A 13,318-nucleotide genomic window follows, 5' to 3' on the forward strand; every position below is an offset into this window, starting at 1 on the left:
TTCTCCATATACCTAGCAAGACACTTCAGAGGTAAAGAAAATAGAACTGGGTTCATCAGAATCAATTTAAAGAGAGGAAAAATAAAAAAAATAAATAAATAAAATAAAAGATTGTCCACACGGTTTTTAACAAGAAATCCATAAACATCCAAGTAAGTGACATTTCTGTCACCAACACACTTGGGTCTGAAAATTTACTTTCCATATACAAACCTACATAATTAAAAAAGAACTAGTTTTACAAATAATCGAATTGCTAGTATATGCTAACAAAAGATCATTCCAGCCTTCCCAGTATTGAGAGGAGAAATAATCAATGAATGTGAGTAAATCAATGAAATTGTAACTGAGCATTTTCAGTTGTATTAGAAGACTAAATAATGAATGGTTTATCTAACATTTATAATATAATATATTGACATATTTTCAATATCTATATCTTTTGATCAAATTGGTTATAATTCCAAAGAAATTTTAAAATACAGATTATTTTATTGACCTAATATTTGTTTTTTTTTTCTTTTTTTCTGAGATGGAGTCTCACTCTGTTGTCCAGGCTGGAGTGCAGTGGTGGGATCTCAACTCAGTGCAACCTCCGCCTCCCAAGTTCAAGCAATTCTCCTGCCTCAGCCTCCCAAGTAGCTGGGATTACAGATGCCCACCACCACACCCAGCTATTTTTAGCATTTTTAGTACAAACAGAGTTTCACCCTGCTGGCCAGGCTAGTCTTGAACTCCTGACCCTGAGTGATCTGCCCACCTCGGCCTCCCAAACTGCTGGGATTACAGGAATGAGACACCATGCCTGGCCATATTTGTATTTTTCTAAAGTATGACATTCAAGATTATCTGCCTGTTTCAAATTAATAATTCCATAATAGAACATGCCAGAAGTAGAAGACATTTGAGCACCAAAAGTTATAATGCTTTGATATATGAAACATTTATTACAGAAATTCAATTATTGTTTGATTCTATGGTTTTATATTTAATAAAAAGACGACTCTGATCTTAACTTCATCTCTAATCTCTTTAGAGATTATATGCACACACATTTTGTTTTTATCATATTTCTTCATACTGCTTTACTTCATGTAAGCCCACTTTTATTAAAGATGTTTAAATACAATCATGAGAGGTTTTGATTTTCAGAAACCAAAGTACAAAAATTCAGTTTAACCAAGTGTGATAAAGTGTTATTTCTGTCTGGAACTTTTTAACAGCCTGGATCTTACAGAAATACACCATAAAAGAAACAATTTCTTCCACTGCATTGAAAGTGCTGCTTCTGTATAGTAGATCACTACCTTAGTGCTAATGTTTTTTAAAAAAGAAATCCTAAATGAATTTCTTTTAAACATTCTGAAATAACTTCTTTTTCTTCTAAGGAGAGACACAGAAGGGTTTTGTTTCTTTTGTTATTGTATTGTTTTATTGTATTAACTAAGTGTCCTAGGAGGAGCATAAAAAGCAGGTGTTGGCTCTACTAAATAAATGCTTGAAAGAACTGGAATTCGAAAAAGTTAAAGGACTTCTCTGATATGTTATCACAGAATAAAAATTAGAGACATGAAGCCAGCTCCCGGTTGTTCTGTACCACACCCAGTATTAAACTTCACCTCTCTAGAAGGATTAGTAGTTGACCACCTCTTAAGATACTAATATTCTGCCATACTATGTTAATAATTCTAACAGAATGTCTTAACTTATCAACCTACAAAATGACACCTACTTAGCTGACATCTCTCATGCCTCGATATAGAGAAATTTGTGCCTCAGTATACATTAAAGGTTGACTGTAACCTCAGTTTTTGAAAACCCAGGATCTTTTGCAGTCTATATTTGTGGCAAGGGCTATATTGCCTGGTTGTACTAAAAACACATAAAAATCAAGAAAATATTCAAAACGTTAAGCAGATAATATTTTTTCTCACATAAAACTATTTTTGCATGTCTTCATAGGTATATAATTGTTCATGCATATACTTATTTTTATCAGGTGTTGCCTAGCAGCAAATAAACCCCTGGGTATCTAAATTAGAGCACAGAAGTAACTGAGCAAGCCTGGGGGATAGTGGAATTTCATTTTCAACATAATTAGCTCTGTAATTGTAAGGCCCAGCTTAGTAGATGTATTTGGAAATGTAATTAATTATGATTGATTTAAACACTGTTTAAAATGCATATTTTTTATGTTCTAAAAGCTGAATTATGTAGGGAAAGATTCAATTTTGAAATTAGTAGTGTTTATAAACACTATAGTTTTTTAAAAGTTAATGTAATAAAGTTAGCTACAATTGCCTAAATGTAATTTTTAGATGAAAACATTATACAGCATAAATTAGTATAAATTACAAGAAATTTAAAAATCTGTTTTATGTCAAATCAACTAATAATAGAAACATTACTACTTAAATAATCAAAATATTTTTAGAACAACACATTCTAATAATATTTATAGTCCAAGGAATATGAAAAAACTATAAATCTATCTCTAGAGCTATTTTTAAAAATTATTTTTATGGTAGTTAAAAACACAGAACATAAAATTTACCATATTAAGGATTTCTAAATATACAGTCCAGTAGTGTTAAGTATATGCACATTGTTGTGCAACTAATCTCAGGAAGCTTTTATCCTGTAGAACCTAAACTCTGTACCCACTAAACAAAAACTCCCCATTCTCTTCTCCCAGTCCCTGTCAAACACCAATTTTACTTTCTATTTCTATGAATCTAACTATTCTAGATACCGCATATAAATGAAATTGTAAAGTTTTTGTCTTTTTGTGACTAGCTTATTTCACTTAGCGTATTGCCCTCAAGGTTCATCCATGTTGTAGCGTGTATCAGAATTTTCTTCTTTTTTAAGTCTGAATAATATTCTCTTGTTTGTATTCACCACATTTTATGTATCCATTCATCCATCAATAGACACTTGATTGATTCCACTTTTAGCTATTGTAAATAGTCCTGATATGAATTTGGGTGTGCAAATATCTCTTTGAGATCCTGCTTTCAATTCTTTTGGATATATATCCAGAAGTAAAATTGTTAATCATATGGTAATTCTAGTTTTAATCTTCTGAGAAACTGCCATACTGTTTTCCATAGCAGCTGTACCGTCTTACATTCCTACCAAAAATGCACAAGGGTTCCAATTTCTCCATATCCTTGCCAACATTTATTTTCTGTTTTTTTCTGATTGTCTTGTTTTGTTTTCTTTTGTTTGGTGGTAGCCGTTCTAATAGGTGTGAGGTGATACTTCATTGTGGTTTTGATTTGCATTTCCCTAATGATTAGCAATGTTGAGCATCTTTTTATGTATTTGTTGGCCAGTTGTATATAATCTTTGGAGAACTGTCGACTCAGATTCTTTGTCTAGAGACAGGTATTTTGACAAAAGGAATGCTAAAAAGGAATCCTAAATGAATTTCTTTTAAAAATCCTGAAATAACTTATTTTTCTTCTAAGGAGATACACAGAAGGGTTTTGTTCGTTTTTTTATGGTATTGTTTTATTGTATTACCTAAGTGTCCTAAGAAGAGCATAAAGAGCAGGTGTTGGCTCTACTAAATGCTTGAAAGAACTGGAGTTCAAAAAAATTAAAAGACTTCTTTGATATATTGTCACAGAATAAAAATTAGAGACATGAAGACAGAATGATAATTAGAGACAAAATATCTGTCTCTAGACAAAGGACCTGAATAGACATTTAGGTCTAAATATATTCACTGAATTTTCTAAACAAAAGACAGAATAAATTCTTTAAAAAAAAAAAGTCAGGGTTCATAAAGTTCCATATCAGAATAGAAGTAATTTGCAAAATAGTACTCAAAAAATTTTGTTTTGCTTTGCCTTTTGTTTGTCTTAAGGCCTAATGGGTTAAAAAGAGAAAAGAAAAAGAATAGTGCATTTTTCTTTCAATTAAATTTGCTGAGAGTAAAGCCTGTCCTAGAGTTGAGGAAATGAGGGAATTCTGACTTCCTCAGCCGGGAATGGCTTACAGAGGTGAGTAGGCAGAAAGTAGTGATACTATAGTCTGGAATACTTTTGAAACTTGGCAGAGGGCCCCACTAACCCTGAGGCTGTGTTTCTTTGAAGACCAGCAGAAGCTGAAGGAAGTCATGAGTCATCACAGTCTCAAGGCTTGAATGGCTCATTGGCCTTAACTCTTTCTGCAGAGTAATCTCTATGTTGCTCTTTATCTCATCAGCCTGATAATTTCCTAGGCTTTTGTCACAGTCACTTGAACAAGATACTGCCTTATCCTTCTCCATTTACCAGAAAAATTAGTCCAAATCCTCCTCTGCCCTCAGTTTCCCTTGCCAAGGTTTCTCAATTCAAGCACAACTAATCATTTATCTCTCCCATTCTAAGGTGTATTGACTTCCTCCAGTTTTGTTTTACCCTTTTCCTGGGAACTGCACCCCTTTTGCATTAGGATGCTGTTCTCCTCTTCCCCTAAGACCTTGAAGTTCTAACAGGAACTGACAATAACACTTTACCTGCCTTGATAGAGTTGACTTATTCAAGGGTGGGCCAATCTAGATACTCCCCTTTGAAGACTGAAAAGACTGAAAATCCCTCTGTAGTGGTAATATTATGAGATTTGAAGACCCTAACCTATGAAAGAAGCTGCTCTTCAATAAAACAATAACCTTACATCTAGAGAGAACAAAAGAGAGACAGTCAGGAGGATGTCCAGTTCCCGGCCTCAGCTGCCCCTCAGGCTAAGCTGCATTCTGTTGTTCTATGGTTAGGCAATCCAGCCTTTCCATAAAGTCCCCTGTCTTGGGAATAATTTGAATGGATTTCTGTCATGTGCAAACGGAAGACTCATTATTAATATATTTATTTCCTTCGGCCATTGAATAACCCTCCTTTTATGCGATCTTAGATCTGGCCTGGTGGGGCCTTTGCTTCTCTTTGGCTGGTTAGCATGACCTTTTGATGAGGCTTTACTGAAACCATCTGAAGCAAATACATTACTGTTGTCCTACAGAAATGCTTCGTAGGAGGCAGGGTTTCAAAGTTATTTCAAGACTGAATAACATTTTTTTCCAGAGATATTTTTAACTAAACTGGACCTGTATCATCCAGCTTAAAATGTTTAATACCTATATGTACTCACATATTCTGATGAAGGATCTACCATATCAACCTGTTCTCTCAGCCAAAAAGCAAGTTTATTTTAGATTCTGTATAAATGGGCCTGTCTCTCCTCTTCTTCCAGGCCCTGCAGAGTTGATTTGAATTTAGAGTCTCCAACAAAAAGAACTTATATTCAGATTAGCTTGGGGCATTAAGGATAAAGATAAGAGAGCAGTCTTAATGTGGTGCTTTCAGCACTATAGGATTGCAGTGGGTTTGGGCACAAGAGCCATTTTGGCTTCATTATTAATTTTAGGGTGAACACATATCTATGAGTGGCAGAACAGAGTACAGCAGAGTTCTGTAAATAAGTAATATACAAAAGTAAACTAGAATGTGGAGTTTGTAATAAATCTACAATCAGGTACTTTCAGGAGCTCATTTTACAGACCATAACCTGACTGCCCAGCCCATGACCTGATTCTGATGTAAGGAGATACTCAAATATTCCGTGAGAAATACAGCTCTGTACATGTTAGAAAACCCTTTGTGTTCTTTGCTCCCATTAAGGATAATCCAAAACAGACTGAGAAAAAAACCAGGGAAACACCTCTAGTCATGAACTAATCATTACTTTACACCTCAGTGTGGTCATACCTGCTTTAGGCAAATATCCATGAGAATTCTAAATGTTTTGATTGCTCAATAACCATTGGCAAAAGCAAGGGGGTCTCTTGAGCCGCCATAGCAGGCCCTCCCAAGTGTGAATTACCAAAACCTGCTTGTTTGCCAGCAGCTGCTATCTTCTGATCTCCAAAGCTACATTTGCTTGGAGCTCAGCCTTTGTTTAGATGAATTAAATTGCTCTAGGCGAAATGCATGTTTCTCCCTTTACTGTACTTTTCTCTCTTACTTCTCTGCAATGTATTTACTTTAAAGAGAAACATATGGACATGAAAAAGCATGTTTGGGGGATTAGAAACAAAGCTTTATGGTTCTAGAAATTAAACTTTCATGTCACTCTTCTATTCATGAATGAGAAATGATACTGGAACCTTCTTTTGGGGGAATACATGTTCTCGAAACACATGTGTCAGTTACCAATGAAAACATATACTGTCCCATAGTAAAGGAGATGCATGGCTATTTTGGAAAAAAAGAGTAGGTTTAAAGATCTTGACTGTTACTATTCCGACTTATTTTCTTCAGGGAACATTGGCCTTTTTCAGGCACATTAAAATTAGGGTTTTGAAAATGTTTGTGGTGCATTGTGTCGTATGAAGAGTGGGCTTGGACCTCAAGCTTAACCTGGAAGAAAATATAGCGGTGACAGGTAAACTGTAGGAATCCAAATGATGAATTGTAGTTCTCCAAAAGGCCAATAAAATACTGAATTATAGAACAAAAATAGAACTCTGGAAACACAAAACCATATTGCCATAGTCCAGTGTCATAGGGAGGCAAATCTGAACAAGATACAGATTATCAAATACCATCATTAATCAATTATATTCACTTTTAATATTTGAATATAATTTTTAAGTTTTCTCTCCTCATTGTAGCCTTCTTGTTTTCTTCTTTGTAAATGTTTGAGATTTCATGTCTCCTGGGTATTGAGAAGATGCTGGAATTTATGACTATTCAAATTTACTTTTGAACATTTTTATTTTATTAAAATCTAGAAATAATTTTCAATCAATTTTCCAGTATTAACAATCACCAGTATTTAAAATCTAGATATAGCATCTCTCATTTTACGCTTGGGAAGATATTTCACATAATCATATGAACGGCTGGAAGAATAGGAATCATTATTTCTCTTTTACAGATGAATAGAACAGTAGCCAGGAAGGAATGTGGAACGAAGAACAGCAAAGTGTAGATTACTTTCTAGGTCTCCTGGGTGCTAACTCAGTGATCTTTCTAATACATCACATGCTATTTTTTAAAAAATGTCTCCAAAGTTTAATTACGAAAGAATGGCCCCTACAGAAACCTATGAAATTAAATTTTTCTTTGTTTTGCTCTTGTACATGTACTGCAAAAATTAACAATGATGCAAAGATAATTTGCCAGGAATAAACCACACATGTAGGTGTGGGAGATTTTCCAGCTTAGCATTTGAATTCTTAGTGAATGGAATTTATGTTTCATACTAATAGAAAGCACAGCACCATTAATCCTCAAGATTCACTGAAAGACAGCTAACTAAACCTTATTTATCTTTGCTAATTGATGGATCCCTGTGAAAAGGTATGAACACAGTTTATTGTTGTGGTTTTAATGAATGAAAACGCCTTCAGTTGTGGATTGGTTTGGTAGTCAGCGTTTTGTTTAGATTGCTTTTTTTTCTGTAAGGATATTGAATTTGTATCAAAGCCTTACTCCAAAATCTGTTTATACATAATAGCTTATCATATTTTCATCTTATATCTTTCCTGATATTCTGATATGATTTGGATTTCTGTCCTTGCCCAAATCTCTTGTTGAATTGTAATCTGCAGTGTTGGAGAAGGGGCCTGGTGGGAGGTGATTAGATCATGGGGGTGGATTTCCCTCTTGCTGTTCTCCTGATAGTGAGTGAGTTCTCATGAGATCTGGTTATCTAAAAGCGTGTAGTACCATGTGAAGACAGCCTGCTTCCCCTTCGCCTTCCGTCATATAATTGTAAGTTTCCTGAGGCCTCCCCAGCTATGCTTCCTGCACAGCCTGCCAAATGATAAGCCAATTAAACCCCTTTTCTTTATAAATTACTCAGACTCAGGTATTTCTTTATAGCCGTGTGAGAACAGACTAATACATTTTCAAAGATAACCAAACCCCGTGGCAACTCTTCCACTCCCCACACATTCAAAACCCTATCAACAACATGCCAGAATCTCATTTTCTGAAACTGTTGAAAAATCCTCCTGGAGGTTTATCTGACTATTTAAGCTCTCTGCCTAAAATGCTCAGAAAACAAGAAGAAACTCAGGTCACCCTGATCATCTGGTCCTTTTTTTTTTTTTTTTTTTTTTACATCCACTGATGTATCTTCAGTTTTGATAACTTTTCCCTATCTCGTAATTAAAAGGCAACAATTAAGACATAAGAATTAAGAGGTCATTTCATTCTAAATCCTCCCTATGGGTAGACCTTTTTCATCAAAATCACATATATTTTAATTTTTTTAATTTTCTGAGGATTGTCACCCTTAAATTTTTCCTATCACAAATCATTCATTATAACTAAATAATTATAAATTTAAGTTGTGCCTATTCTTTTTTATATGTAAGGTACAAAACAACTGTGTAACAGTTTCCTTATTGATTGTATGAATTCACAGGCAATATTGTCACCCTTTATATTTTATTATTTTGTTCCCTACATTTTGCAATCTCAGTTTACTGGACTCATCCATAGATGCCTAAATTGTCACCTGATTCTTCAGCTTTTCCTTCAACTTAGCATTCAATAATGACAAATAAAAAAATCTTGGCTCTGTCTTTTTACTTACTTTGTTGACAATGACTAAGTTATTTAACCTCTCTAAAATTATTTTCTTAATTCATAAAATATAGGTAATAAAACTTATTTTATAAAATGTACATTTTAAATGCAAAATAATTGTATATACTGATCTTAGGACAATGTCTGGAATCTAAACTTCTGGTAAACTGTATCCTCTTCACAGATCCCTAGGCTGAAGAGGACGAGGGCAGAGAGGAGGATCTATAATTTACAAGCTATTTCTCCTTCAAAAAAAAAAAGAAAAAAATAAAATCTCTAAATTGCCTTTACCAAAATTCATAGATTCTCCAGGAAAGGCATTTCTTGCACTCTGGTCAGTTCACAGTGCTGCCTGTCTTTTGACCATCCACTGTGGCTGTGTTTGCAGGGGCTGGCTCTGTTTCTGGCTTTGCCTATTGGCTTCATCCTAAACAGGCTATTTCTTTACAAACACATCCCTTGATTGCTTTACGCCCATGTGTTCTGCCTGCTGTTCTCATTTCCCCAACTCCTGAGCTGATGTTACTATTCTTCAAATTGAGGGCACCCTGAGGATGGAAACCTGCAGGGCAGCAGAATGAATTTAATCCCACTGTTAGATTCCATTCTAAACTACTCAGCAGGCAAAGAGCAACTCCTCACAGAATGTGTTGCTCCTGAGAGTGAAAGGGTAATGAACTGTAAAACCAGATGGCTCAATCCCCCAAAGCTATTACAGGGTTAACTTTCCTCTTGCCTGGGATCAGCAAGGGTACCAACTCCTGCTGATTGTCTCTCCAAATCCCCAGGATAACTAACTCTGTGTCCTAAAAGATGTTTCCTTTTTGGGGAAAAAATATTAAAATGTGTTAAGATGATCAAGAAAAAGTGAAATTCTCAATTTCTTGTTGTAGAAAACTGATAGACACTGTTTAATTTTCCTCCCAGTAATTCTAAGAGTTGATACTTTAAACTGGGAAGGTAGATGAATGTTTTTGCCTGTGGCTTGAAAAGAATACACCCAATTAAAATGGATTTTATTCAAGAGAGAGGCAAAAAAGAATGCTGGTAAGGATGTGGAGAAAAAGGAACTCTCATTCACTCTTGGTGGGAATGTAAATTAGTACAATCATTATGGAGAACAGTATGGAGATCCTCAAACTAAAATTAGAACTACCATATGATACAGCAATCTCATTGCTATGTATATACCCAAAAGAAAGGAAACCAGTATATCAGCACTCCTGCGTTGTTGTAGCACTTTTACAATAGCCAACATTTGGAAGCAACCTAAGTGTCCGCATACAGATGAAAAGATACAGAACATGTGGTACATACACACAATGGAGTACTATTCAGCCATAAAAAAAGCATGAGATCCTGTCATTTGCAACATGGATGGAACTGGAGATCATTATACTAAGTGAAATAAGCCAGGCACAGAAAGACAAACTTTGTGTGTTCTCACTCATTTTGGGGAACTAAAAATTAAAACAATTGAACTCATGCAGATAGACAGCAGAAGAATGGTTATCAGAGGCTGGGAAGGATAGTGAGCGAGGAAGAGAATGAGGATGGTTAATGGGAACAAAAAGTATCATTAGAATGAATAAGATCTGTTATTTGATAGCACAACAGTGACTGCTGTCAACAATAATTTATTGTACATTTTATAATAACTAAGATTATTAAAAAGTAGAATGTTCATAACATAAACAAAGGATAAATGCTTGAGGTGATGGATTTGGTTACATTTTCAACAACATGCTCTGTAAGAAGCTTCATACCAATGTTTCTCTCTTTCTTATGACCTTTCTACCTATAACTTGATTGAAAGAATTCACCATCGGTGCAGGCATATGTCCCACATAAAGGCTAATAGAAACTGCATCTTCATGCACATCAAGGAAAGGCTTTTCCCATTAAAACAAAACAAAACAAAACAAAACAAAAACACTAAAGCTTTGGTCCTTTTTTTTTCTATGCATTCTATTTTTTAAAAAAATACTGTTTAGAGACAATTACAGGGGCCATTTGTGATGTTATTGGTCAACATGGTTCTAAGGACATATTTTTTTTTCTCAGAACTTGGTGAAAAGTGCTTTCATCCAATAAAGGCAAGAGATGATGATGAGAAAGCTGGCTTTGTTCATTTCGTCAATATGCAATTTTTGTCGTCCTTTGGCTCTTTTTCATATTGTAATGCTGTGATGAATCAAACACAGCTACAAATCTTGCAATATTATTTCCATTATAGATTGTCCTCAAGGATAACCATTTCACTTATAACATTAAATTTCAGGATAATTTTTCAGAAATGAATTTGGGGGCCAAATGCCAGCCCTTTGAAGAAGTGTGTAAACGTGTCTCATTTTTTAGTCTTGACTTTCAGCTATAAGTTTCTGACAAAGACTCTCTTTGACCAAACTGTAGTCAGGCTCCTCTGAGCCCTCTTCTCAGCTAGGCTTCAACCTCAGGTTTCCCTGTTTTCCTGGGGTCCAGTTATAGCAAGAATCCTGCTAAGTTAATTCAGAGAGAATCTCTCAACCCTTGATATTTGATCACTCTTAGTATCTATTAATAATCAGATTCCTCATGCCCTACCATCAATACCTGACCATTCTGGCCTGCCTTCAGCAAGAGTCTTGTTAGGTCAGTTTCACCAGAACCCCTGCTGCCCTTCATGTCTCCTTTTAGTAATTTTTTGTCTACCAACGACTCTCCAAACTGCTCTTTTGTTATAAATCTCCCACTAGTTTTTGCTGTATTCAGAATTGAGCCTGATTTCTTTCCAGTATTTTGATAGCTTTTATACCTATTGCAATGGTTCTGTAATAAAGTCTTCCTTACCATCTTGTCAGAACTGTCAGAACAAGGTTTTTTTTTTTTTTTTTTTTTGACAGTTCATTAGTTTTAATAAGTCTCAGTAATTGTACGCTTGGGAATTCTCAAATAAATCACAGATACCTACTGGATGAGCTAACTTGTAGCTTCATTTTTCTAAGGAGAATATTTCAGAATATTTACTAATCTTTGAAGATAAAGTTTATTGCAGATGTTAATCTGACTTTTAATCTGCTTTCATCTTTTTCTTATTTATCTCTGCCTCACCTCTATTACTAACATGATATTATTCAGGAATAAATGTTCTACTTCTAGCCTCTAAATCAAAGCATATAGTTTCATACAATAAAATCAATTCTGACTACTCAGGGAAAAAGATAAGCTTGTCTGTATCAAAAATCTATTTAGAGTTTTGATGAAATAAACTTTTTCCAAAAAATCCATAAGCCACCAATTAGCATCTTATGAAGGAATATGCTATGCATTAAGACTATTTAACTAGTTTGAACATTTAGATGGCCAATTATAGTCTTAGTCACAATATCAGAAAAAAGCAGAATTTGTATGAGTAGAGTTAAATCAGAACTACTCGTAATCATAATAATCAACTCCTCAAATAACTATAAAAGTTATTAATGAATAAATAAGAGACACATTTGACTCAAGTCAGTTAATTTAAAATAGTTTGCCTAATTTAGCAAGCCATGTGGAAATCAAAGAGAAAAAGAAAAGGGCAACTAACATTTATTTAGTGCTTCAACAGGTGTTTCATAATGTTAACTCCTTTAATCTTCACAACCTTGTAGTGAGTATATTATCTTAATTTTAAATAAAGGAAACAAGATGTGAGAGGTTACGTAATTTGCCTAAGGTCAAAGTGCTAGGAAATGGTAAATACCAGATTTGAAATTAAGCCTGACTAAAAAAGTTCACGCCTTCACTAAGTCCTGCAGTTCAGGCAGGAAATAAGTTTTGCATCCTTAGCTAGTCCATGGGATTGCAACCATGGCATGCTAAGGTGACACTGTAATGAGTCACCATGGCATGACTCCAGCCAATGTAAAAATTGGCAGATGGGACCTACTTGCATTCAGAAAAAAATGACTAAAAGGGCCCCTAACGAATAAATAATATTTCAAAATTTGAGCTGAAAAAGAAGTTCAAAGAAACAAATTTGTCAGTTTCATTGACTTATTTTAAATTGAGAATACATTCACTTGGTAAATAAATAGAAGTATCCAGTGAAAAGTCTACCTCCATCTTTGCCATGTGAGCTGAGAGTTTCTATTCCCCTCTTTCCATACATAAACCATGTGATCAGCTTTTTATGTGCCCTTCCAGTGGTTGTTTCATGAAGACATTTTGTCACCTTTCTTATGAAAAAGGAAGCATAAGATACATACTGTTCTACACCAAGTTTTTTTCTCACATAATAGAATATCTTGGAGAGTTTTACTAATCTTTACTAAAGATTGGTACATAAATAGCTACCTCATTCTTTTTTTTTTTTTTACAGTTGCAGAACGTTTCATTAAATAGACAATAATTTATTTAATCAGTCTCTACTAATGGGCATGGTTTTCAAATTTCTTGCCATTATCATTTTTATTTTTGTGCTATACTTTCATTATTGTTGGTCAATTATCTTTTAATTATTCAAATAATGCTTCAATGAATAAAGTTGTATATACATAATTTCAAACAGGTATAGGCATATCTGTAGGTAAACTACCAAAATGGGATTGCTGGGTCAAAGAGTAAATGAATTTATAATTTTCTAATATCATAAGTAAATTGCTTTTCGTAGGGATTGTGGCAGTTTCTACTCCTATCTGCAATGTGTGAGCATGCCTATTTCTCATAGAGTTTATTAAAAAGAGATTTTTTTAAATCAAGTTTTGAGATTTTTGCCA

The 13,318-nt window shown here is 34.4% G+C and overlaps 1 annotated feature.

Moving 5' to 3' along the window:
• Positions 4,112-4,191: a silencer, noted in NCBI's record as "silent region_15668". NCBI's record gives its function as "represses an Ori minimal core promoter by ATAC-STARR-seq in GM12878 lymphoblastoid cells {active_cell/tissue: GM12878}" and the evidence as "EXISTENCE:reporter gene assay evidence [ECO:0000049][PMID:35858748]".

Source organism: Homo sapiens, chromosome 4 (assembly GCF_000001405.40).
Source record: "Homo sapiens chromosome 4, GRCh38.p14 Primary Assembly".
NCBI classification, from domain to species: Eukaryota; Metazoa; Chordata; class Mammalia; order Primates; family Hominidae; genus Homo; species Homo sapiens.